Source organism: Homo sapiens, chromosome 10 (genome assembly GCF_000001405.40).
Source record: "Homo sapiens chromosome 10, GRCh38.p14 Primary Assembly".
NCBI classification, from domain to species: domain Eukaryota; kingdom Metazoa; phylum Chordata; class Mammalia; order Primates; family Hominidae; genus Homo; species Homo sapiens.
The window spans coordinates 15009140-15036338 of record NC_000010.11 but is presented as its reverse complement, the minus strand read 5'-3'; the positions used below and the strand labels follow the sequence as shown (position 1 = coordinate 15036338).

The 27199-nt window shown below is 45.6% G+C and overlaps 1 protein-coding gene, 1 long non-coding RNA gene and 1 pseudogene across 4 annotated transcripts in view, besides 1 other annotated feature; 2 read left to right on the top strand and 1 right to left on the bottom strand.

Moving 5' to 3' along the window:
• Positions 1 to 4144, bottom strand: part of OLAH (oleoyl-ACP hydrolase) — a 41659-nt gene extending 37515 nt beyond the window's left edge. For both annotated transcript variants that reach the window (XM_047425423.1, XM_024448060.2), the window contains exon 1: positions 3989 to 4144. The gene's annotated coding sequence lies outside the window, so the exon portion shown is untranslated. The remainder of the gene's footprint in view (positions 1 to 3988) is intronic.
• ACBD7-DCLRE1CP1 (ACBD7-DCLRE1CP1 readthrough) overlaps positions 1 to 21267 on the top strand; it is a 73705-nt gene extending 52438 nt beyond the window's left edge. The window contains exons 4-8 of the long non-coding RNA NR_144471.1: positions 14476 to 14535; positions 18187 to 18288; positions 19048 to 19112; positions 19295 to 19435; positions 20868 to 21267. This is a non-coding gene — a long non-coding RNA (ACBD7-DCLRE1CP1 readthrough). The remainder of the gene's footprint in view (positions 1 to 14475; positions 14536 to 18186; positions 18289 to 19047; positions 19113 to 19294; positions 19436 to 20867) is intronic.
• Positions 914 to 21267, top strand: DCLRE1CP1 (DNA cross-link repair 1C pseudogene 1; annotated as a pseudogene). Its single transcript, NR_144469.1, has 6 exons — positions 914 to 987; positions 14476 to 14535; positions 18187 to 18288; positions 19048 to 19112; positions 19295 to 19435; positions 20868 to 21267. The product of NR_144469.1 is annotated as a DNA cross-link repair 1C pseudogene 1 (transcript).
• Positions 22371 to 22430: an enhancer, noted in NCBI's record as "active region_3088". NCBI's record gives its function as "activates an Ori minimal core promoter by ATAC-STARR-seq in GM12878 lymphoblastoid cells {active_cell/tissue: GM12878}" and the evidence as "EXISTENCE:reporter gene assay evidence [ECO:0000049][PMID:35858748]".

Below are 27199 nucleotides of genomic sequence, written 5' to 3'. Positions count from 1 at the left end.
TTTAGTAGAGATGGGGTTTCGCCATTTTGCCCAGGCTGGTCTTGAACTCCTGACCTCAAGCGATCCACCCACCTTGGAATCCCAAAGTGCTAGGATTACAGGCATGAGTCACCACGCCTGGCTCCATCTTTAAAAAATAAATAAATAAAAATTCTTAGAGGATTTGACCTCCAGGAAATAGCTATAACCACAGTTAAATGTAAAGACAATAATGTGACTTAAACGTACAGTTAATCAGCGTCTGGGCCAGGACCTTCTTAGCAGGTCGTGTGCAGTTTCCTTTGCTGGTTTCTCATTGCAGGCATATACAGCTGTGGGGTGCTGGGCTAACATCTAGAATCACTCAGCCCCTGGGAGGCCATGGGTAAACCACACACCATTCTGGGCCTGGGTTTCTTCAGCTGCCTCGCGAGATTGGTGTGAGATTCAATGAGAACATGAGCAATGAAAGGAGACAGTGGAGAGTGTCAGGCTACAAAACCTCAGGCTCTTTTTGTTTGACGCTCTGTGATTTGATCTTTTTCTAAGGTGGAAATGGCACACCATTTGCCCATGCTCCCCTTTCTCCCCAAGAGCCAGATCTACCTCTGTGCTTCCCCATGGCGTCCCAATGCAGAGCCCCGAGAAGATAGCGTAAAATGCTTTTGACTGGGAAGAAAACTTGGAGCACAGGAGATGGCGCTTGATATAGTTTGGGTAAATGTCATCCCCCCTGCTGGAGGTGGGGCCTGGTGGGAGGTGTTTTGGTCAAGGGGGCGGATCCCACGTGGCTTGGTGCTGTCTCAGAGATAGTGAGTTCTCATGAGATCCGGTCCTTCGAAAGCTATGGCACTTCCCCATCCAGCTTTCTCTTTTGCTCCTGCTTTCGCTGTGTGACCCGTGCCTTTTCCTACTTCCCCTTCCCCCATGAGTCAAGGCTTCTGGAGGCCTCCCTAGAAGCAGATGCCAGAGCTACCCTTTCTGTATAGACTGCAGAACCAGGAGCCAGTAAGTCTCTTTTCTCATAAATTACCCGGTCACAGGTATTTCTTTATAGCAAAGCAAGAACAGCCGAATACAGTGCTGTTTGGCACCAGCCTCGGGATTTGGAAGTCACACTCCGACTATACCGGGCTTTCTCTGGTCCGTGGCTTCCTTTTCTCTAACTTTGCTTCTCTATGCTCCTAGAATGCCTCTCCCCAACTCACCACTGCCTTCTCTGCTAGCAAACTCCTACTTCTGGGAGTTCAATGAACAACCCCAGCCTTTTAACTCTCAGCGCCTGTAATCCCAGCACTTTGGGAGGCCGAGGTGGGCGGATCACGACGTCAGGAGTTCGTGACCAGCCTGGCCAACATGGCGAAACCCTGTCTCTACTAAAAATACAAAAATCAGTGGGGCGTGGTGGTGCGCACCTGTAATCCCAGCTACTCGGGAAGCTGAGGCAGGAGAATCGCTTGAACCCGGGAGGTGAAGGTTGCAGTGAGCCGAGATCGTGCCACTGCATGCCAGCCTGGGCAACAAGAGCAAGACCCGTCTCAAAAAAAAAAAAAAAGAAAGAAAGAAAAGAAAAAATGAAAACTGTCTGCAGTACAGTCTTATGCTTCTTTATGGGCTGTTGAAGATACTCTCTGGTTTTGGCATAGGCCACAGTGGAACCCACCGTGAGCTCCCAAGACCATAACTGATTAGTCCATCACAGAGCACACCTGCAAGAACAAAGTGGCTGGGCCATAGACCACTTCCAGCCTCAGCTCACCCTGCAAAGGGACAGTCTTCTCTCATCATCATGTGGGTCCTGCTGTGAAGGCCTCAGATCCCAGTAGGGCCTTATCCTTCCTTCTTCATTGTATTTCCTTTCGGAGTTCCTTAGTATCCTTTCTTGCCCATCAAAGAAGTTCTAATAATGTTCAAAAAGGGTAGAGTCGGCTGGGTGCAGTGGCTTACTCCTGTAATCCCAGTACTCTGGGAGGCCGAGGTGGGCAGATCACCTGAGGTCAGGAGTTCAAGGTCAGACTGGGCAACATGGCGAAACCCCGTCTCTACTAAAAATACAAAAATTAGCCAGGCATGGTGGTGGGAGCCTGTAATCCCAGCTACTTGGAAGGCTGAGGCAGGAGAATCTCTTGAACCCAGGAGAATTGCTTGAACCTGGGAGGCGGAGGTTGCAGTGAGCCAAGATCTTGCCATTGCACTCCAGCCTGGGTGACAGAGCGAGACTCCGTCTCAAAAAAAAAAAAAAAAGAAAAAAAAAAAATGGTGGAGTCTGCCCTTTCCTCTAGGAGGTTCCTTCCCCCACCTCTTTCTCTCCTGGTAGTTTCCCTTTCCACCTGGCAGAGCTGATTCTTTTGCTAAAGTTCCTCCTAACCCATCAGTCTCTTTTCCCTCCCCCTCCTTCTTCCTTCCTTTCTCCCTACCTGCTATAGTTTGAACATTTGTCTCCTTCAAAACTCATGTTGAAATTTAATTGCCTTTGTAATATTAAGAGATAGGACCCTTGGGAAAACTATTAGATGGTGAGGGCTCTGCCTTCATGGGTGGGATTAATGCCCTTATAAAAGGGTCAGTTCAGCCCCTTCCTGCCCTCTCTCTTTTTGCCCTTTCCTCTTCCACCCTATGAAGACAAAGACAAAGCCTTCTTCCCATCTGGAGGACGCACGTTCAAAGTACCATCTTGCAATGAGAATGCCCAAACTGCAGGTGCCTTCATACTGGACTTCCCAGCCTTCAAAACTGTGAGCCAATAGACTTCCGTTCGTTATAAATTACCCGGTCTTGGGTAACCTGTTATAGCAGCATAGACTAAGACATCACCTCTTCTCTCTGCCTTCTCTTCCTCTTCTTTTTTCTTCTCCTCCCCCTCTTTCTTCTCCTTTTTCTTCTTCCTCTCTCCTCCTTCTCTTCTTCTTTCTGTTTCTCTGCCTATCCAATCCCTCCCTTGCACTCTCTTACTATATATATTGTAAATAATGATAAGAAAGGAAATGATCTTGCTGATATGCCTAGATTTGAAGTCATCAAAGGATTTGCCCTTTACAGTCACCCTTTATCTCAATTCAGTCAGTCCAGAAATTCAAATATGTGCCTTAAAAATTAGGGAACCATGGATTTCTAGTCATTTTTCCTACTAGTTATAAAATCCACAATAAGTAAAATTGCTACATGAGTTAAATACTTTTCACTGGTAGGCTGCAGCGGTTCAGGCCTGTAATTCTAGCACTTTGGGAGGCCGAGGCAGGTGGATCGCTTTAGGTCAGGAGTTCAAGACCAGCCTGGCCAACATGGTGAAACCCCATCTCTACTTTAAAAAAAAAAAAAAATTAGCCCACTGTGGTGGTGGGCACCTGTAATCCCAGCTTCTTGGGATGCTGAGGCATGAGAATCATTTGAACCTGGGAGGTGGAGGTTGCAGTGAGCCAAGATTGCACCACTGCACTCCAGCCTGGGCTACAAAGTAAGACTGTCTAAAAAAAAGAAAACAAAAAACTTTTCTTTATTGATAGGTGTCAGAATTAAGGAAGTTGTTTTTTGCTGGAGGCAGAAATATGGGGCCAGATTTCATTACCACACTTCTCAGAATTTAAGAACTTTCTGATTTTGTTGCCTTTTGAGAAGCATTTCGGAAATCACCTCCTGGCCAAGAATAAACCGCTAGTGAGAAACTTAATGCATGTAGCACTTTGAAAAACAAGTTATAGAATTCCCTGTGCGATGTTTTTCTTTTTTTTTTTTTTTTTTTGAAACTGAGTCTCACTCTGTCGCCCAGGCTGGAGTGCAGTGGTGTGATCTCAGTTTACTGGAACCTTTGCCTCCCGGGTTCAAGTGATTTTCCTGCCTCTCTCCTGAGTGGCTGGGACTACAGGCGCCCTCCACGATGCATAGCTCATTTTTTTTTTTTTTTTGTATTTTTAGTAGTGATGGGGTGTATTAGTCAGGGTTCTCTAGAGGGACAGAACTAATAGGATAGATGTATGTATAAAGGGGAGTTTATTAAGGAGAATTGACTTACATATGACAACGTGAGGTCTCACAATAGGCCATCTGCAGGCTGAGGAGCAAGGAAGCCAGTCAGAGTCCCAGAACTGAAGAAATTGGAGTCTGATGTTCAAGGGCGGGAAGCATCCAGCATGGGAGAAAGATGGAGTCTGGGAGGCTAGGCTAGTCCAGCCTTTTCACATTTTTCTGCCTGTTTATATTCTAGCCACGCTGGCAGCCGATTAGATGGTGCTCACCCAGATTGAGGGTGGGTCTGCCTTTCCCAGTTCACTGACTTCCCTGTTAATCTCCTTTGTCAACACCCTCACAGACACAGCCAGGAACAATACTTTGCATCCTTCAATCCAGTCAAGTTGACACTTAGTACTAGTAATCACATGAGGTTTAACGGTGTTGCCCAGTCTGGTCTCAAATTCCTGACCTCAGGTGATCCGCCTGCCTCGGCCTCCCAAAGTGCTGGGATTAGAGGCGTGAGCCACCGCACCCAGCCTGAATGTTCTTTTGAGCATTTGTCACTTCCAAATGAAAAAAAAAAAAAGTATCTAATTTTTTCCAGTTCTTTCTGGTAATAAATTCATCTTCCCTTTAATAGGGCTCTATTAAAGTTTTAATAACAGAATTGTCTTTTGTTAGTAATGAGTAGAATGGATGATCTATTCATTTGCTTATTTACCCATCCACACTAGAAGTAGAGCACTAAGAGGTACAAAGACATGGTAGGTTTTTGCCTCTGTGAGCTCTTAATCTGGTGGAAGGTATAAGAAAACAGACTTTTGCCGGGCGTGGTGGCTCACGCCTGTAATCCCAGCACTTTGGGAGGCCGAGGCGGATGGATCACTTGAGGTCAGGAGTTTGAGACCAGCCTGGCCAACATGGTGAAACTCCATCTCTACTAAAAATACAAAAATTAGCTCAGTTTAGTGGCATACACCTGTAATCCCAGCTACTCGGGAGGCTGAGGCAGGAGAATCACTTGACTCTGGGCGGCAGAGGTTGCAGTGGCCAAGATTGCGCCACTGTACTCCAGCCTGGGCAACAGAGCGAGACTCTCAAAAAAAAAAAATTCTTTTGAGAGAGTAGAGTTGGGACATTTTTATATATTGCATGTAATATGGATGCGGCCTCTGAGAACAGGGGTGCCAATAGCTACAAAGGTGAAATTGGCCCTGAACTTTCCACTTTCCATGTACACAGGTGTTGTCTAGATTTGCAAGGCTGAGGAACTGATATCATGGACAAAAAACTGTTCAGAACTTTCTTATTGGCAGTCCTTCTGCAATCAAGGACCCAGCCAACTATTTGCACTGGACTGGGTACCCTGGGACCAGTGGGAAGCCACGTTGCGGATGCTGGAAAAGATACCAGATTAAAAAACTGCACTAAGCCTTGATAGATAAGAGCTTATTGGGGACTTTTAGGAGCTGACACAGCAGCAGCGCTTCAAGGGGCTGAGTCTTATTTTTTTTCCTTTTTTAAGACACAGGGTCTTTTTCTGCCACCTAGACTGGAGTGTAGTAGGGCAGTCATAGTTCACTGCAGCCTCCAACTCCTTGGCTCAGGGGATCCTCCTGCCTCAGCCTTCTGAGTAGCTAGGACTACAGGTGTACACCACCATGCCCAGTTAATTTTTATATTTTTTGTAGAGAGAGTCTCACTATGTTGCCCAGGCTGGCCTTGAACACCTGGCCTCAAACTCCTGTCTTCAAGCAATCCTCTCTCCTTGGCCTCCCAAAATGCTGGGATTATAGGCGTGAGCCACCGCACATGGTCCCCAAGGGATTAAGTCTTAAACTCATGTTTCCTGATTTAAAAAAAATATACATCGTCGGGCATGTTGGCTCATGCCTGTAATCTCCACACTTTGGGAGGCTGAGGCGGGTGGATCATTTGAGGTCAGGAGTTCATGACCAGCCTGGCCAACATGGAGCAACCCTGTCTCTACTAAAAATACAAAAATTAGCCGGGCGTGGTGGTGCCTGCCTGTAGTTCCAGCTACTCAGGAGGCTGAGGCATGAAATCACTTGAATCCAGGAGGTGGAGTTTGCAGTGAGCAGAGATTGTGCCACTGCACTCAAGCCTGCGTGACACAGTGAGACTCTGTCTCAAAAAAATAAATGAATAAAGCTAAACATAAAAAATATACACCATCTTCCCCTTGCACCAGACATCCATTTCCTGTAGGAGATCTGCAGACAGTAGAGGAGAGTTGACCTGAGTCCCTTGCATTGAGCCAAGGCCTGCTAGTGGCAGATTGCTTCTGCCTGTGAGCCCTAGCTGACCTCAGCTTTCCTTTGCTCTGATACTAATCTTGCTTATGATTGTACTTTGATGCACTCTAGTGAACAACTCATTATGCTCTGCACATCTGGGGTCCCCAACATGAGCCCCAGATTTGATGGTTTAAGAGGAGGGCTCACTGGACTTGTGGCTATGATGTATTACAGTGAAAAGATCCAAAGCAAATGAGCAAAAGGAGAAGGAGCATAGCGTGAGCTCCAGAGGAAACAACGCTCAAGGTTCCAAGAGTCCTGTCCCAGTGGAATCACACAGGCCATGCTCAGTTCCTCCTGAACCAAGTTGTGACAACACGTGAAATGGTGTCCACCAAGAAAGCTTGTTAGAGACTCAGTGGCCAGGGTTTTTATTTGGGGCTGGTTACATAGGTACCCGCTGCCTAGCATGTACCAAAATTTCAGGCTCTCAGGAGAGTGACATAAATCAGATTGTTTGTACACATGTGTTAAGCAGTGTGAGCCACTCTTATCAGGAATGGTGAGAACACCCCTGAGATCTCAGTTGCCCAGTGCCAGTGGAGGGCCAGCCCTGGCAGCCTGCCTTTCTAAAGACAGCAATCTCAGCTCTACCCTGTTAATTCTTTCCTTTACCCTTGATATGATTTGGCTTTGTCCCCACCCAAATCTCATCTTGAATTGTAGCTCCCATAATTCCCACGTGTTGTGGGAGGGACCCGGTGGGAAATAACTGAATCATGGGGGCAGTTTCCCCCATACTGTTCTCATGGTAGTGAATAAGTCGCACAAGATCTGATGGTTTTATAAAGGGCTTCCACTTTTGCTTGGCTGTCATTCTGTCTTGTCTGCTGCCATGTAAGATGTGCCTTTTGCCTTCCACCATGATTGTGAGGCCTCCCCAGCCATATGAAACTGAGTCCATTAAATCTTTATTAGCAGTGTGAAAATGGACTAATGAAACCCTCCTTTTGCTTTTGACAACCCATGTCTGCTTCTGCCACTTGAGAAAGAACAAAACTACCTTCTGCTTGTTCTAAGACTATCTATTGCTAGTGCTCTAAATTTAACTAAGTAGGCTGGGCAGGGTGGCTCACACCTGTAATCCCACCATTTTGGGAGGCCAAGGCAGGTGGATCAACTGAGGTTAGGAGTTTGAGACCAGCCTGGCCAACATGGTGAAACCCCATCTCTACTAAAAATACAAAATTAGCTGGGTGTGGTGGTACACACCTGTAATCCCAGCTACCCTGGAGGCTGAGGCAGGAGAATGGCTTCAACCTGGGAGGCAGAGGTTGCAGTAAGCCAAGATTGTGCCATTGAACTCCAGCCTGGGTGACAAGAGTGAAACTCCATCTCAAAAATAAATAAATAAAATAAATAAATAAATGAATGAATGTAACTGATTAGTGGAGCTACTATTACTTACCCGGTGCTGCCAATAAAAATTTGATAGTTGTTTTAAATAGGTCAGAAAATAGATTTCTTTCTACAGGTCTCTTCTGGCCCTGACATTTCTTGCACATCATTAATCTCAATATTTGATCTTGTAAAAACTGGACTTTGATCTCAGGTTCACAGAATTTTTCTACTGAGGATGTTCTAATCCTATTAGCAAAAGCCAGCCTATCACGGGTGGCACTAAAATCAGGGTTGTCTTTACTGCAATAAAATAATCAGTTTGGGTGGGGTGTGGTGGCTCATGCCTGTAATCCCAGCACTTTGGGAGGCCAGGGTGAGTGGATCACTTGAGTTCATAGCAGAAACCCATATCTACAAAAAAGACAAAAAAATTTAGCCAGGCATGGTGGCATGTGCCTGTAGTCCCAGCTCCTTGGGAGGCTGAGGTGGGAGTGTAGCGGGACAATCAAAGACGGGAGAGACCGAACAGAGTTCAGGAGAGCCCTTTATTATTAAGGTGATCACTGGCTCAGTAGGACTAGGGTCCAGAAAGTCTGAGCACCAGACAAAGAAAGAAGCCACCTTTTAAGCAGTCAGTGGCTGGGAGCTATGTGATGCAGGAAGCGTACTTACAGAAGCGAGAACAAAGACAGTTGATCAGTCTTTTACATTTATCTATACTACATGTTCTACAGCCCTGGGAAACCATGTTTCTTTATCAACTTTGTAACTTTGCAGCTGCCCTAGGGAGGTGAAGCAGGAACTCACTGAGCCTCAAGGAATGTGAAAGTAGTGAGAACAGATAAGTCTCTCAGAGCACAGAAGGAAAAACAGGCAGTTAGTATTCTTCTCTAACTTAGACTATGGCGGTGCTACATTATACTAAGCCCAGAGGGGAAAGTTAATTTTCTGGCTTTACATATTGTAAAATTCATTAATTTCCTCTTCAGGAGGATTGCTTGAGCCCAGGAGGTTGAGGCTGCAGTGAGCCATGAAAGTGCCACTGCACTCCAGTCTGGGTGACAGAGTGAGATCCTGTCTCAAAAAAAAACAAAAACCAAAAAAGACAAAAATCTATTTAAAGGTCAGAACTTGGAAATGATGCCAAAACAAACTTATCAGTGAAGAAGCAGTTAAAATAAAAATGATCTGTTATCTAGTTGATCTCAAAGCACTCAAGACTCACTGATGTCAAACAACTCAAAGAAGGGGACTTCTTAAATCTTAAAGGTTAGTACTGCCTTCCTCACTCATCAACATTTAGGCTGTTTCTGCAGAGATTCCTGGCAGCATTGGGATTATGTTGTCTTAGGTGGGGGAACCTAGAGGCCAATCCTGGGATAAGGCTTCGGAGTACAAGGAGGTTATTCAGGAGGAAAAGAACCATAGGTAAGGGGTGGAAGAAGCAGCAAGGCAGGGAGGAACCCAACAGAGTACGTTATCCAGTCGGATACTGTGGCAGGTAATGGAAGCTTAACTCCTACTGGAGAAGTTGCTGGAGCCAGTGTAAAACATACGCCTCAGACTTATTCCTCCTGAGCTATGAGGTTGCTGGGGGATTGATTGATTGATTGATTGATTTCGAGAGAGGGTCTCACTCTGTTGCCCAGACTGGAGTGCAGTGGTGCAATCTCGGCTCACTGCAATCTCTACCTCCCAGGCTCAAGCGATTCTCATGCCTCAACCTCCTGAGTAGCTGGGATTACAGGCATGTACCACCACACCCGGCTAATTTTTTTTTTTTTTTTTTGTTACGGAGTCTTACTCTGTCGCCCAGGCTGGAGTGCAATGGATCTATCTAGGTCTTTAGTTTTGTTTGTTTAATCTCATTGACCCTCTTGCTAAGATGCATTTTAGTATTTTTCTTTTCTTTTCTTTTCTTCTCTTTTTTTTTTTTTTTTTTGAGGAGGAGTCTCACTCTGTCGCCCAGGCCGGAGTGCAGTGGCTCAAACTCAGCTCACTGCAACATCTGACTCCTGGGTTCAAACGATTCTCCTGCCTCAGCCTCCCAAGTAGCTGGGACTACAGAATCCCGCCACCATGCCCAGCTAATATTTGTGTTTTTAGTAGGGACGGGGTTTCACCATGTTGGCCAGGCTGGTCTCAAACTCCTGACTTCAGGTGATCCACCCACCTTGGCCTCCCAAAGTGTTGGAATTACAGGTGTGAGCCACCATGCCTGGCCACATTTTAATATATTTAACAAGAATATAAAGTGTTCATTAACATAATTGCTAAATCCTTTTATTTAAATTGTGGGATAGAGTAAGAAAAATAAACATAAATTACAGTCTGTCATAAGGAAGGGATGACAGCTAGAAGAATACAGATAGAATGGGTAACTTTCGGTCTGGCAGAATAAAATGCATCTGTCCAATGTGAGGTAGTCAAGGGGAGAAAAACGTCTGGTGCATAGAAAATGCAAAGAAGGCAGAAAAAGTCCAATTATATATTACTATATATAAGAAAGGATCTAATTGTACCTTTGGTCAAAAGACAAATTCTCGGCCGGGCGCGGTGGCTCACGCCTGTAATCCCAGCACTTTGGGAGGCCGAGGCGGGTGGATCATGAGGTCAGGAGATCGAGACCATCCTGGCTAACAAGGTGAAACCCCGTCTCTACTAAAAATACAAAAAATTAGCCGGGCGCGGTGGCGGGCGCCTGTAGTCCCAGCTACTCGGGAGGCTGAGGCAGGAGAATGGCGTGAACCCGGGAAGCGGAGCTTGCAGTGAGCCGAGATTGCGCCACTGCAGTCCGAAGTCCGGCCTGGGCGACAGAGCGAGACTCCGTCTCAAAAAAAAAAAGACAAATTCTCAGTTTAAGTTAAAAAAATCAGACAAATCTGGCTGGGCCCAGTGGCTCACGCTTGTAATCCCAGCACTTTGGGAGGCCGAGGCGGGCAGCTCCCCTGAGGTCAGATAGAGAACAGCCTGGCCAACAGGGTGAAACCCCGTGTCTACTAAAAATGCAAAAAATTGGGTGTGGTGGCGGTGCCTGTAGTCCCAGCTCCTTGGGATGCTGAGGCAGGAGAATCGCTTGAACCTGGGAGGCGGAGGTTGCAGTGAGCTGAGATCGTGCCACTGCACTCCAGCCTGGGTGACAGAGAGAGACTCCATCTTCAAAAACAAACAAAACAGTTAGACAAATTCATGAGTATTAGTCTATAAGAGACATAGATAAAACAGAAGGATAAATATAGGTTGAAATTTGAAATTTTGGGGGAAGAAGAAAAAATTACTAACCAATTAGAAGGCCAAAATGTCAGAGTGGCAGTTTTTAATATCAGAAAGTAGACTAGAAGGCAAAGAAAGACAAGGTTTGAAGAGGGTGTCACTGTTAAAAGGAGCCATGGGTCATATGGATGTATGTGCAACTGACAAAATAGCGTCCAGCTGAAGTAGAAACTGCGAGAACCTGTCACCCAGTGCTTGATCTGAGGAGAACCACAATGACTTAACAGAATGTGGGTTCATTACATGGATTAGTTCTTAAATCATTGTGGGAGTTGGCAGAGCAGTTTGTCCCAGTGTCACAAAGAGTCTGTTTCTATTTTTTTTTTTCCTTTTTTTGAGATAGTCTCACTTTGTCACAGGCTGGAGCGCAGAGGCGTGATCTCAGCTCACCGCAACCTCCATCTAACCGGTTCAAGCAATTCTCCCTGCCTCCCCCTCCCTAGTAGCGGGGATTACAGGCCTGAACCACCATACCTGGCTAATTTTTGTATTTTTTAGTAGAGATGGGGTTTTGCCATGTTGGCGAGGCTGGTCTTGTACTCCTGCCCTCAGGTGATCCTCCCGCCTCGGCCACCCAAGTGCTGGGATTACAGGTGTGAACCACTGTGCCAGGCTTCTGTTTGCTCTTAAGCTGCTTACAGCCAGTGCCTCCCTCCTACCCACATTTGGGCAAGCTGACAAAAAGGCCCATGCCTGCCTTAGCACTAAAGCGAAGTTCAAACCAGGCATGTCCAGGCCCAACCCGCACCAAAGTGGAAACCAGGGCTACTTGCTCCTACTCTCTCTTAAGCCACAGGAAACACTTCTGTCCTCAGCTCAGGGACTGCACTGCCCTCCCCGAAAATCCTGTGATGTGACTGAAGTTTTCTTCTCATTCTCTGTCGTGTGTGTGCTCGCGTGTGTGTGTATGTGCATGCGTGTGTGAGTATGCACACATAGTGTGTGCACGTGTGTTTGTGTGCATGATATCATCCACCTCCACATCTGACCTTTGATTGGGAAGGGGATTTGTCCTCCCTCTGCAGAGCAGTCACAACAGCAGGGTTGTTCCTGTTGTCTCTGACATTCAGCTTGAAGTTACTACAGGTCAGCCCGGCCAGCAGTCAGGAAGGAAAGCTGGAAGAGAAGTGGAGGGGAACAGAGACAAACTGGAAGGCAGAGTGGCTCACTAGAGCCCAGCAGGACAGACCGAAACCCACTTCTGTCTCTCACTTCTTCTGGCCTCAATAGTGCTGGTCTCCCGCTTTGGCTCTGAAGCACATGCACCTGCCCCAGGACTCGGAGGAGCTGCACACAGGCACCCAGCAGAAGCTGATGTTGCTGCGGCCCTGCCCCAGACTCTGAGTTAAGCCAGAAGGTCAGCAATGTTCACGAGCTGTTACCATTTCTGGCACCCTTCAGAGCATTAAAAAAACCCTACTAGTTCACATCTGCCTTCTGAATGTTTACTGTGGGCAACAACATGGAAAGGGGTTCTAGGAAACAGTTCCAGCTTAGGTGAGTTGACATAGTACAAACAAGGCCACCGCAGAATCAGGGCAAGAAATAGGAAATCAACAATTGTCACTGAAGAGCTTAACATGCCCCTCCCAGATGCTGAAAGAAGGAGGCAGGAAACAGGATGCAGAAAATGTGTGAATGTGGACTAATGAACAGAACTTTAAACCCAAGGAAGAAAATAGTATTTTGGGGGGTGCTCATGACACTTACAAAAACTAACCATGTACTGTGTCACAAAAGAAGGCAATGATGTTGGAGATCAGAAACAAAGGGACAGCTAAAATCTTCCCATACACGTGGAAACTAAGTGCATACAATAACTGACCCTTTGGTTAAAAAGGAAATTGTACGATAAAGAAAACATACAATATGTAGAACTGATATGGCTAGGCTTGGGGGCTCACATGTGTAGTCCTAGCACTTCGGGAGGCCAAGGTGGGACAATTGTGTGAGTCCAGCAGTTCGAAAGCAGCCTGGGCAATACCGCAAAACCCCATGTCTACAAAAAAACCTTAAAAATTAGCCTGGTATAGTAGAGTGTGCCTGTAGTCCCAGCCACTCAGAAGGCTGAGGCAGAAAAATCACTTGAGCCCCGAAGTTTGAGGCTATAGTGAGCCGTGATTGCGCCACTGCACTCCAGGCTGGCCAACACAGCAAGAGCCTGTCTCTAAATAAATAAATAAATAAATAAATAAATAAATAAATAAATAAATAAAGGAGCTGATGGACAATGGAAACGTGGCATGTCAGAATGTGTGGAACATAGCTAAATTTGTCCTTGAAGGGAAATTGAGAGCATTAAATAGATATATTAGAAAAGAGGACGGGCTCAGTGGCTCACACCTGTAATCGCAGCACTTTGGGAGGCTGAGGTGGAGGGATCACCTGAGGTCAGGAGTTCGAGACCAGTCTGGCCAATATGGTGAAACCCGATCTCTGCTACAAAACATTAGCCAGGCATGGTGGCGGGTGCCTGTAGTCCCAGCTGCTCAGGAGGGTGAGGCAGGAGAATTGCTTGAACCTGGGAGGCAGAGGTTGCAGCAAGCTGAGATCGTGCCACTGCGCCCCAGCCTGGGCGACAGAGTGAGACCCTATCTCAAAAATAATAAATGGGGAAAAACTCATTTCATACATGAAAATGTAAGAATCCTCATAAAGACAGTAACTGAATCTAGCAGTGTTAAATAGTACATCATGAATAAGATGTTTCATTCCAGAAATGCAAAAATACTTTAACACCCAAACCTTAGACACTGTAAGTTTTAGGACATTAGTGGACTAAAAAGATGAAAAATCACACTGATCTATTCATCAGATACTTACTGAATGCCTCTTATGTGCTAGTCTCTGTTTTGATGGCAGGGGGAAATGTACCAGGGAGCGTTCTGCAGCACTTAGAACCAGTGCATGAGGCTGGGTGTGGTGGCTCACGCCTGTAATCCCAGCACTTTGGAAAGCTGAGGCAGTTGATCCTGAGGTTAGGAGTTGGAGACCAGCCTGGCCAACATGTCAAAACCCTGTCTCTACTAAAAGTACAAAAAACTCAGCCTTGCGTAGTAGCGGGCGCCTGTCATCCCAGCTACTTGGGAGGCTGAGGCAGGAGAATCGCGTGAACCCAGGAGGCGGTGGTTGCAGTGAGCCAATACCACACCACTGCGCTCCAGCCTGGGAGAGCGAGAATCCATCTGAGAAAAAAAAAAAAAGAACCAGTGTATGAAGCATCCATGTCACAGACCCATCCAGACTGTGTTCTGAGGCACAAAAGTTAGGACACATGACCACGTTTTTACAAAGACTCAAAATTCAGAGAGAGAGGGGAACGGGAGTGGTAGGGATGGGGAGATGAAGGAGGAAAAATGAATTCATGGAAACAGAATTGTGTCAGAGGATTATATGCATTTACAAGGCATTTACTCCGTATTGCCAAATCTGCCTCAAGACAGGTATTATTTTCTTTACAATTCTTTCTGTTAAAATATTTATTACAATGTAATCGGAATTGTTTATATAGAGAGTCTGAAACTTCTCTTTGCCCCGTTTCTGTGTTTCAGACAGCAAAGGCATATAAAGCCATGAAAAACTGCTACATACATGGTCTCTTATTTTATTTTTACAGATATCTATTGAAATCGAGGCTCCTACCCAGATATCTTTAGTGGATGAAGCATCAGGAGAGGTAACTAAATATTAAATATTGATTTTTTTAAAAAAATGCGGTGCTAAAATGATTGTTTATATTTCTCTTTGATTTTGTAGTCAGATGCTCCACCCATCAGCTATACCCTCAATCTTTCTCTTTGATTTTGAATGCTCATTTAACCATAAATAAAAATCTAGTAATTGAGTGGGGTTTTAGGGGCAAAAAATCCCTTTGTGATTGTGTAAGTCCATTTGGGCTGGACTCACAAAACTACCGTAGACTGAGTGGCTTATACAATAGACACTTGTTGCTTAGGTTTCTAGAGACTGGAAATCCAAGATCCAGTCTCCAGCAGATTTCGTGTCTGGTGAGGGCCCACTTCCTGGTTCTTTTTTTTTTTGAGACGGAGTCTCACTCCGTCACCCAGGCTGGAGTGCAGTGGTGTGATCTTGGCTCACTGCAACCTCCACCTCCTGGGTTCAAGCGATTCTCCTGCCTCAGCCTCTCTAGTAGCTGGGATTACAGGCGCCTGCCACCACGACCAGAGCCCAGCTAATTATTGTATTTTTAGTAGAGAGGGGGTTTCACCATGTTGGTCAGACTCATCTTGAACTCCTGACCTCAAGTGATCTGCCTGCCTTGGCCTCCCAAAGTGCTGGGGTGACCGGTGTGAGTCACTGTGCCTGGCCACTTCCTGGTTCTTAGATGCTGTCTTTTTCCCTGTGTCCTCCCATAGTAAAGGAGCAAACAAGCTCCCCTGGGCATCTTTTATAAAGGCACTGATGTCACTCACAAGGCTTCTATGCCCAACAACTAATCACCTCCCAAAGGCCTCCTAATAAAACCACTTTGGGGGTTAGGATTTCAACATACGGATTTTGGGAAGGGACACGAACATTTAGTCCTTAACAGTGATGTATTTATTTCCCATGTTGTAAAGGATTGGGCATGGCTTATTTTTTGTTCCTTATTACATGCTAATGATGGGAACCCTGGTGTTGATATTACTACCTGATGTTATTGTCACATTTACTGAGTTTTATAATATTCAGAATTTAAAATGGTGATTAATATTTTTGCAGCAAATTCATGGATATTGTACTTTTTTTCTGAACCCTTATTCAGAAAAGGGGCACTGCCAAGTGGAAAAATTTATTTTTCATCATTAAATTTTGAGTAGTACTTTTGTGAATGTATGGTTTTAATAAGTAGGACTATAGACATACACCCCCCGTTTTTTTAACCTTTTCCTATTTTGGTTAATATTGGTTTTGTAGCTTGATTATAGCACACTGCTTTGCCATGTTTAACTGTGAGGGTGTCTTGTGTTGTTTGAATGTGATCTGAACAGAAACTGACCTTTTCAGATGTTTCTTCTTTGGAGATCAGACAGTTGAAGTTGAAGTATTCTTCCCATCAAATTATCCTGAGGGAGGACTACAGAGCCAGTTTAGGGAGAATTAAAAAGGAAAAAAAAAAATAGGTGAACCTTTGTAAATGCCATCCTGGACTCTGCCAACTGCTTTTCCGGGGAATAGTGTGATAGTGTGTGGCCTTGTCACATCAGGGATATTGGTGAAAGGCATTCCCTGAGCTGGGGGCTGACAGCAGGCTGACTTTTGAGCAGTCTTGCCTCCACTTTGATTTTTTATGTTTCTTCCTGTGTGCCATGACTTTTGTGCATTGTTTATCCAGCTCCAACCAGGGGGAGACCCATTCGAAAGGGTCCTCCAGAATGAATGGAGACTTCCATGAGGAGTCACTGTCACTGAGCAGTGACCTGGTGTGTGCAGAGCTCTCCCCACTTACTGATGGCTGGAGAGGCAGTAGTGCCCGCAGGTCTTGCCCTTGCCGAACAGTATGATGTGCAGTGTGTATCGGGACCAGGCCTCATCCAGGCTTTAATCTTTTTTTTTTTTTTTTTGAGACTGAGCCTCACTGTGTCGCCCAGGCTGGAGTGCAGTAGGGCGATCTTGGTTCACTGCAATCTCCACCTCCTGGGTTCAAGCGATTCTCTTGCCTCAGCCTCCTGAGTAGCTGGGATTACAGGTGCCCACCACCACGCCTGGCTAATTTTTGTATTTTTAGTAGACACAGGGTTTCACCATGTTGGCCAGACTGGTCTCTAACTCCTGACCTCAAGGGGTTCACTCACCTCAGCCTCCCAAAGTGCTGGAATTACAGGCGTGAGCCACCGCACCTGGCTAAGGCTTTAAAAATTGTTAAATAGTGGCCGGGCTTGGTGGCTCTCACCTGTAATCCCAGCACTTTGGGAGGCCGAGGCAGACGTATCACTTGAGGTCAAGAGTTCAAGACTAGCCTGGCGAACATGGTGAAACCCCATCTCTACTAAAAATACAAAAAATTAGCCAGGCGTGATGGCAGGCGCCTGTAATCCCAGCTGGGGAGGCTGGGGCAGGAGAATTGCTTGAACCCAGGAGGCAGAGGTTGCAGTGAGCCAAGATCACGCCATTGCACTCCAGCCTGGGCGACAGAGTGAGACTCCGTCTCAAAAAAAAAAAAAAAAGTAAATAGCTTTATTGACATAGAAATCAAGTCACACACTTGTGTATCCATCACCACAATCAATTTCAGAATATTTTCAGCACCCCAAGGGAAGAAGCCTTTAGCGATCGCAATGCCTCCCTATTCTCTCCTTCCCCAACCCCCGGCAACCACTACTGTATTGGACTCTCTGTCTCCATGGGTTCACCTATTCCGGATATTTCCTATGAGTGGAATCATACAACATGTGCTCATTTCATATCCGGCTTCTTTCACTGAGGATGTTTTCAAGGATCATCCATGTTGCAGCACGTGTCACTTCTTTTTATGGCCAAATAATATTTCATTGTATGGCTAGACCACATTTTCCTGATTCGTGCATCAGTTGATAGACATTTGAACTGGTTCCACCTTTTGGCTAGTATGAAGAATGCCGCTGTGCCAGCTGGGCGTGGCAGTGCCCGCCTGTAGTCCCAGCTATTTGGGAGGCTGAGGTAGGAGAATGGCTTGAACCCAGGAATCTTGATCGCACCACTGCACTCCAGAGTAGGCGACAGAGCCAGACTCCGTCTCCCAAAAAAAAAAAAAAAAGAATGCTGCTGTGAACAGTCAGGCACACATTTTTTGTGGCCATCGGTTTTCACTTATCTTGGTGGCACACTCCTGTAGTCCCAGCTACTGGGGAGGCTGAGGCAGAGAATTGCTTGATCCCAGGTGGCGGAGGTTACAGTGAGCCAAGATTGCACCACCGCATTCCAGCCTGGGGGACAGAGCAAGACTCTTGTCTCAAAATAAAAATAAATAAATAAATAAATAAATAAATAAATAAATAAATAAATGGAAGTCTTCAGCAGCTGTTTCCCCAGCGACCTTGTATTTTATCATCACTTGTATTTCTCTCTCCATGAGCAAGAATGATCTCAACATATAATTGAAAGTGCTAACATATCACAAGGAACATCTATTAGAAATTGGGTAGCATCTCCATTCTGTTATTTTCTACCCGAGGGAAGAGGTAACAGCTGAGTGCCTGGTGTGGTTCAAATTACTGTGGGATTCCATTACCATTGTATTTTAATGGATATATTTGCAGGAAGCATTTACTATGCAGCTCACATGTATTTGCTTTATTTGGGATTTTATATGAGACTCAGAAGTCACTGGGATATATTTCTTTTTCAGGTTTTTATTTCAGGGCAATAATGGAACTATCTTGTACACAGGGGACTTCAGATTGGTGCAAGGAGAAGCTGCTAGAATGGAGCTTTTGCACTCCGGGGGCAGGTACTGGGCCTCGTATAGGTGGTTTTTTGTTTGTTTGTTTGTTTTGTGAAACGGAGTGTTGCTCTGTCGCCCAGGCTGGAGGGCAGTGATGTAATCTTGGCTCACTGCAACCTCTGCCTCCAGAGTTCAAGTGATTCTCCTGCCTCAGCCTCCCAAGTAGCTGGGATAACAGGTGTGTGCCACCACACTCAACTAATTTTGTATTTTTAGTAGAGATGGGGTTTTGCCATGTTGGCCAGGCTGGTCTTGAACTCCTGACCTCAGGTGATCTGCCAGCCCTGGCCTCTCAAATTGCTGAGATTACAGGCATGAGCCACTGTGCCTGGCCCCTTGTACAGTTCTTATGTGTATGACTGAATAAAGTATTATTGTTCTGGCCATAAACAGAACAATATTGTTCTGGCCATAAACAGGTGTGGTGGCTCATGCCAGTAATCCCAGCAGTTTGGGAGGCCGAGGTGGGTGGATCATTTGAGGCCAGGAGTTCGAGACCAGACTGGTCAACATGGTGAAACCCTGTCTCTACTAAAAAATACAAAAATTAGCAAGGAGTGGTGATGCACACCCGTGATCCCAGATACTTGGGAGGCTGAGGCAGGAGAATTGCTTGAACCCGGGAGATGGAGGAGGTGGCAGTGAGCAGACATTGCACTTCAGCCTGGGCAACAGAGCGAAACTCCATCTCAAAAAACAAAAAAAGTTACACATAATTTATATCACATTGGATGGCTAACATCAATTTTTTTCTTCTTTTCAAAGACATCCAAAGTGTATATTTAGATACTATGTTGTGTGATCCAAGATTTTACCAAATTCCAAGTCAGGTAAGTCTGCCTGGAGGAAAAGGGTTATCATCTGGGTGTGCCCGTGTTTTTAGTAGGAAGTTTGTAGGGTGACAGGTCATATCCTAACTGTCCCCGTAGGTGTGAGTACCTGGGACTGTTGGGAAGGAAAAGGCTATGTGCGGCTCTCCACCTGTTAAATGTCTCTTTAAAATCCTGTCTAGGAGGAGTGTTTATGTGGAGTCTTAGAGCTGGTTCAAAGCTGGATCACTCAGAGCCTGTACCATGTTGTGTGGCTGAACTGCAAAGCGGCTTATGGCTATGAATATTTGTTCACCAACCTTAGTGAAGAATTAGGAGTCCAGGTATGGTGACTGTTCATTCTTTTTTTTTTTTTTTTTTTTTCTTTTTTTGAGAGGGAGTCTTGCTATGTCACCCAGGCTGGAGTGCAGTGATGCGATCTCGGCTCACTGCAGCCTCCACCTCCCGGGTTCAAGCAATTCTCCTGCCTCAGCCTCCTGAGTAGCTGGGATTACAGGTGTGAGCCACCATGCCCGGCTAATTTTTGTATTTTTATTAGAGACAAGGTTTCACCATGTTGGCCAGGCTAATCTTGAACTCCTGACCTCAAGCTATCTGCCTGCCTCGGCCTCCCAAAGTGCTGGGATTATAGGCGTGAGCCAGTGCTCCCAGCATATTCATTCTTTTCTCTTGCTCCCTTCCATCCTCCCAGCTCACCTTTCCTCCCCCTCCTTGCCTGCTAAATAACTGCAAACAGGGACAGATGGAAGCACCCTATCAAGACGTGTCTGCAGCAGAGGTTCGCGGGCCCTCTGAAGGAATATATCATCTTAGTTCAGTCACATCCTCCTGGGAGAAAATTGACAGAAGCCCAAATGGCTTACAAGAGCCTTCAGTGAAATGCCCCATAGACAAAGTATTTTTCCCAAACTTTGGGTCATGAAATAAATTTAGCGATTGTGACCAGCATTGAAAATAAATTTGAACAAGGAGATATGGGAGTGGATTTTTTGCAGTACATGCTCCTCTGTTGCATGTCATGTATATGCCTTAAAGATGATTCTTGATTTTTTATTTTATTTTATTTTATTTTTGAGACTGTCTTGCTCTGTCACCCAGGCTGGAGTGCAGCAGTGGCATGGTCTCGGTTCACTGCAACCTCCGCCTCCTGGGTTCAAGTGATTCTCTTGCCTCAGCCTCTGAAGTAGCTCAGATTACAGGCCTGAGCCACCACACCTGGCTAATTTTTGTATTTTTAGTAGAGATGGGGCTTCAGCATGTTTGTCAGGCTGGTCTCGAACTCCTGACCTCAAGTGATCCACTGGCCTCCGCCTCCCAAAGTGCTGGAATTACAGGCATGAGCCATGGCGCCTGGCCGAGGGTAGATGATTCTTGATTGTTTTTGTCTGTGTGGATTACTGCTTTATTCCTCGCATTTAGAATAAAGCTCGACACACAGTAGGTGTACAAGAACATTAATTGAATTTCCCTTGAAGGACTGAAGGACAATATTAACATCATTAAATGACATCCCTGAGCCGAGTCTCTGTAATTTTTCGCTTCCGTCAGTGATGGCAGCGATCCTGACCAGTCAGCCTTGTGCCTGTTGACATGCTGGCAGGATACCAGAGTGCACTGAAATAGCCAAAAACTGCTTTTCAAGAAAGAAGAGAGGGTGAATTCACTAACTGGGTGTTTTGCCCTGAGTAATTAACCTTGAACAATTTATAGGAAATACAGTTCAAATAATTTGCCCGTACATATTATTTTCCTTAGATTCATGTCAATAAGCTAGACATGTTTAGGAACATGCCTGAGATCCTTCATCATCTCACAACAGACCGCAACACTCAGATCCATGCATGGTGGCACCCCAAGGTACATGTGTGAGTGGCTCGAGACCTCCAAAAGTTTCCCACCAGAGACCTAGGCTGCGTGTTGCTCTGGTAGGTTGATGAGCTTTGGCTGGGACACCCCACGGCAGTCGGGTGCACCAAGGGAACGGATTGCCCTACGCCCACACCTGGAGGACTGTGGGTATAAGGTGTCCAAGAAAAAAGCTCAGATCTGCTGACAGCAGGTATGTTCCTTGGGATATACTATCTGACAGGGGGAATGCAGCCTCGTATCAGAAACAAAGCAGGTCATTTGCCATCTAGCAGAGCCTAAGAGCAGAAGGCAGGTGAGAGAATTCTTAGGAGCTGTGAGGTTTTGTAGACTGTGGATCCCAAACTTTGCAGTATTAGCTAAGCCTTTGTTTGAGGTCACAAAGGAGGCGGGGACCGGGAACCTTTTGAATGGGGATCCCAACAACAGCAAGTCTTTCACGAGTTAAAGGAGAAACTTATGTCAGCCCCAGCCCTGGGGCTACCTGATCTGACAAAGCCTTTTACATCGTATGTGTCAGAGAGAGAAAAGATGGCAGCCGGACTTTGAACCCAAACTGTGGGGCCCTGGCCGAGGCTGGTGGCCTACGTCTCTAAACAAGTAGACGGGGTCTCTAAAGGATGGCCCCCATGTTTGAGGGCCTTGGCAGCAACTGCCCTGCTAGTACAAGAAGCAAATAAGCTGACTCTTGGGTAGAACCTGAACAGAAAAGGCCCCCCATGCTGTGGTGACTTTAATGAATACTAAAGGACATGATTGGCTAACGAATGCGAGACTCACCAAGTACCAAAGTGAAAATCCCCATATAACCATTGAAGTTTGTAACATCCTACACCCTGCAACCTTGCTCCCACTATCAGAGAGCCCTGTCAAGCATGATTGTGTAGAAATGTTGGACTCGGTTGACTCTAGCAGACCTGACCTCCGGGTCCAGCCTTGGGCATCAGTAGACTGGGAACTATAGGTGGACGGGAGCAGCTTCATCATCCCGCAAGGAGAGAGAGGTGCAGGGTATGCAGTGGTAACCCTGGACACTGTTGTTGAAGCCAGATCGATGCCCCAGGCCACTTCACCCAGAAAGCTGAACTCATTGCTTTCATTCAGGCCTTAGAACTCAGTGAGGGTGAGACTGTCAACATTTACACTGATTCTCGGTATGTCTTTTTAACCCTTCAAGTGCATGGAGCGTGATAGAAGGAAAAGGGCCTATTGAACTCTGGGGGAAAAGGCAGAAAATAACAACCAGAAATCTTGCATTTATTAGAAGCAGTATGGAAACCCCACAAGGTGGCAGTTATGCATTGCAGAGGACACCAGCGAGCTTCCACCTTGGTGGGCTTGGGGAATTCCCGCGCTGACTCAGAGGCTGCAAAAGCAGCATCTGTCCCCTTCCGGGCATCAGTCATAGCCCCTCTGCTCCCTCAAGCACCTGATCTTGGACCTGCTTATTCTAAAGAATAAAAGGACTTTCTCCAGGTAGAGGGAAGGACAAGTGATGGAGGAAGGATGGAGTCAGTTACCAGATGGGAGCGTAGCTGTGCCACAGCTGTGAGGAACTGCAGTTGTACTGGCACCCATCTATGTCAGGAGTCACTTGAAAAGTTGTTAGGCTGGTATTTCTACATCTCACATTTGTCAGCTCTTGCCAAAACGGTGAGGCAGTGGTGTGTCACCTGCCTACAGCCTAATGCGAGGCAAGGTCCAGCCGTTCAGCCCAGTGTACAAGCTTATGGAGCAGTCCCCTTTGAAGATCTCCAGGTAGACTTCACAGAGATGCCAAAGTGTGGAGGTAACAAGTATTTACTTGTTCTTGGGCGTACCTACTCTGGGTGGGTGGAGGCTTATCCAACACGAACTGGGAAACCTCGTGAAGAAACCCGTGTGCTTCTTCGAGGTCTGATTCCTAGATTGGGACTGCCCTTCCGGATCGGCTCAGATAACGGGCCTGCATTTGTAGCTGACTTGCTACAGAAGACAGCAAAGGTATTGGGGATCACACGGAAACTGCATGCCGCCTCCCAGCCTCAGAGTTCTGGAAAGGTGGAGCGGATGAATTGGACTATCAAAAATAGTACTATTGTCTTCCCCTCTGGATATGTAAAACACCACCACGAGGGGCGTCAAACCACCTGCTAAATTTGAGGGAATGTTATCCTCTTCCCCGCTCCCCCGGCCCCAGATATTAGAGACAATAACACACGGGTAATGTACAACCACTGCTTTATTGGGAGTAATATCATCTCCTCCCTTCTTGGATATTAGGAACAATATCACACTGTGCGTGTACGCCTGTCGCGAAATTCAATGGAATGTCATCCTGTGCTTCCCTGGATATGATGAACAGTAAGTATCACGGGGGATGTACAACTTCTGAGATATTGGGAGTGACCTCATCCTCTCCCATCTGGAACTTAGGGACAGTATCACAAGGGTAGTGTACACCCTCTGTGACATTAGGATGAATATCATCCTCCCGCCCACTGGATATTAAAAACCGTATCACAAGGGGCGTGCACACACACTTCGATATTGGTATGAATACCATCCTCTCCCTCTTTGGATATTCAGTGCAGTATTTCAGGTGGGGAATACACTACCTACAATATTGGAAGTAATATGATTTTCTCCCACCCAGGATATTGGAAAGAATATCACGGGGGGTGTGAACAACCCCTGCGATATTTGGAGTTATATCATCGTCTCCCCTCAAGAATATTAAGAACAATATCTTAGGGGTGGGGGTTGTACACTCCTTTTCATATTCGATATCATCCTCTTCCCCCTTGGATATTAGGAACAATATCAGGAAGGGATGTACAGACCCTGCGACCTTTGCTGTCATATAATTGTCTCTCCCCTAGATATTAAGGAAAATGTCACGGGGGATGTGAACACCCCTGCGATATTCGGAGTAGTATCATCCTGTCCAACCTTGCGTATTGGGAACAACATCACAGGTGGGTTGTACTGCCTCTGCGATATTGGGAGTAAAATTTTCCTCTCTTCCCCTGGATACTAGGAAGGGTATCAGAGGGGGAGGGTACACATTCCCTGCGATATTCAATGTCACCTTATCCTCTCCCTCCCAGGGTATTCAGAACAATAGGACAGGAGGGGTGTACACACCCTGCGATATTGCGAGTCATATCATCCTCTTTCACTCTGGATGTTAGGAACAATCTCACAGGGTTGTGTACGCCCCCTGCGATATTGGGAGTAATATCATCCTCTCTCCCTGTGGATATTAGGAAGAGTATCACAGGGCTGTGTAAACGCCCTGCGGTACTGGGAGTAATATCATCCCCTCTTCCTCTGGAGATGAGGAAGATTTTCACAGGGGTGTGTACACCCCCTGCGATATTGGGAGGAACATCATCCTCTCCACCTGGGAAATGAGTAAGAAGGACACAGGGGCAGGGTGGACTCCTCCTGCGATATTGGCAGTAATGTCATCCTCCCCAAACCTGGATGTTAGCAACGAGATCACAGAGGGGGTGTACACACCCTGCGATATTGGAAGTAATATGATCCTCTCCCCAACTGGATATTGGGAAAGATATCACAGCACGGGTATACATTTCCTACACTGTTGGAAGTAATATCATTCATTTCCTTTCTGGATATGAGGAAGAATATCACAGGGGTGCTGTACAATTATTTCCATATTGGGAGTACTCTCATCCTCTATTTTCCTGGATATTGGGCCCAATAACACAAAAAGGTGTACAACCCCTGCAATATTGGGAGTAATAGCATACTCTCCTTCCCTGGATGTTAGAAAACAATATCATCAGGGCTGAACACCCCCTGCGATAATGGGAGTCATATTGACTCTTTCACAGGCCATTTGGAACAATATCACAGGGGTGATACACCCCTGTTTACAAACAGGGGTGGTTTACACCCCCTGGGATATTGGGAGTAACATCATTCTCTCCACTACAGATATTAAGAACAATATCCCTGTGGGAGGTGGTACACCCCCAGTGATATTGGGAATAATGTCATCCTCTCCTTCCCTGGATATTCGGAACAATATCACAAGGGGGTGTACACCTTCCGTGATATTGGAAGCAGTATCATCCTCTCCCTCACTGGATATTAGAAAAACATATCACTCATGGTGTACAGCCACTGTGATATTAGGAAGAATATTACAGGGTGTACACCCACTCTGACTTTAGGAGAAATAGCTCCCTCAAATGTCACAAATAATACCACAGGGTATACAGTGATATCTCCCTAGGATATTACAAATACTATCACAGGGTGTATACCCACTGTGATAACAGGAGTAATATGTCCCAAGGATACTACCAAGAATATCACAGGGCTGTAAACCCACTATGACATCAGGAGTGATATCTCCCTAGGATATTATGAGTAACATCACAGAATGTACACCTATGGTGTGCACCCATGGTGATATTAGGTGTAATATCAACCCAGGGCATAACCAATAAGACCACAGGGAGTACATACATGAGGTACACCCACAGTGATGTTATGAGAACTATCTCCCTAGGATAATACGAATAACATCGCAGAGTGGACACACATGGTATACACCCACTGTGGCACTAGGACTAATAACTTTCTAAGATATTACGAATAGCATCACAGAATAGAAACACATGGTGTACCCCCACTGTAACGCTAGGTGTAATTTCTCCCCAGGATATTACAAGTAACATCTCAGTGCGTGCACACATGGTGAACACCCGCTGTGACATTAAGTGTAATATCCCCCTAGGATATTACCAATAACATCACAGGGTGTCCACCCATGGTGTACACGCACTGTGATGTTAGGGATAATATCTCCCTGGGATATGATGAATAATACCACAGGGTGTAGAGAAACTGTGATATTAGAGGTAATATCTCTCTAGGAGATTATGAATAATATCACAGGGTGTACACCCACTGTGATACTGGGAGCAATATCTCTCTAGGATAGTACAAAGAATATCACAGAGTGTACACCCACTGTGATATTAGGAGAAATATCTCTCTGGGATAATATGAATTATATCACAGAGTGTACACTCATGGTGTACATCCACTTTGATATTAGGAGTAATATCTTCCTAGGACATTACAAATAACATCACGGAGTGTACACCCACTGTAATATTAGGAATCGTATCTCCCTAGGTGATTACAAATAATATCAAAGGGTATACACCCACTGTGATATTAGGAGTAATATCTTCCTAGGGTATTATGAATAATTTCACAGTCTGTACACACATGGTGTACACTCACTGTGATATTAGGAGTAATTTCTACCTAGTGGATAACAAATAACATTGCAGAGTGTATGCCCACTTTGATATTAGCTGTAATATTTTTCAAAGTTGTTACAAATAAGATCACAGGGTGTACAAACATGGTGTACACTCACTGTGATATCAGGAGTCATATCTCTGTAATATATTATGAATAATATCACAGGGTGTACACCCACTGAATTATTCAGAGTAATATCTCTGTAGGATATTACTATTAATATCACAGGGTGTACAGTCACTGTGATATTAGGAGCAATATCTTTCTAGGATATTACAAATAATATCACAGGGTGTACGCCCACTCTGCTGTCAGGAGCAATATCTCCCTAGGATATCAAAAATCCTATCACAGGGTGTCCAATCTCTGCCTTCCAGGTTCTAAGGGATTCTCCTGCTTCAGCCTCCCGAGTAGCTAGGGTTACCCCCCACCACGCCCAGCTAATTTTTTTTTTTTTATTTTCACTGGAGACGGGGTTTCACCACCTTGGCCAGGCTGGTCTGGAACTCCTGACCTCAGGTGATCCATCAGCCTTGGCCGCCCAAAGTGCTGGGATTACAGGTGTGATCCATGGCACTCGGCCAAGAGTTATATATTCAATTCATTTGGAAACACAGCTCCCATATTTGAGTGTGCATGTACTTTTTTGAAGAAATGATGTCAGAAAACCTCAGGATGATAATAAATATGAAAAGTAACTGGCATGTGAAAAGGTGTTCCGATTAAGAACTCTAAGTTTCGATTTCGTTTTTAGATAATGTGGTCCTAGCTCTTGTATCGTCCTTTTACATATTCTACATCAAAGGAATTTGTAGCACGGTGTCAGAATAAAACAGAGTGTATTTCACAGCTTCTTAATTTCTTTCAATTAGACTGAGATCTTTTTCTTCAAGAGAGAAGGACATTTTCATTGCATTGTATTTTTTCTG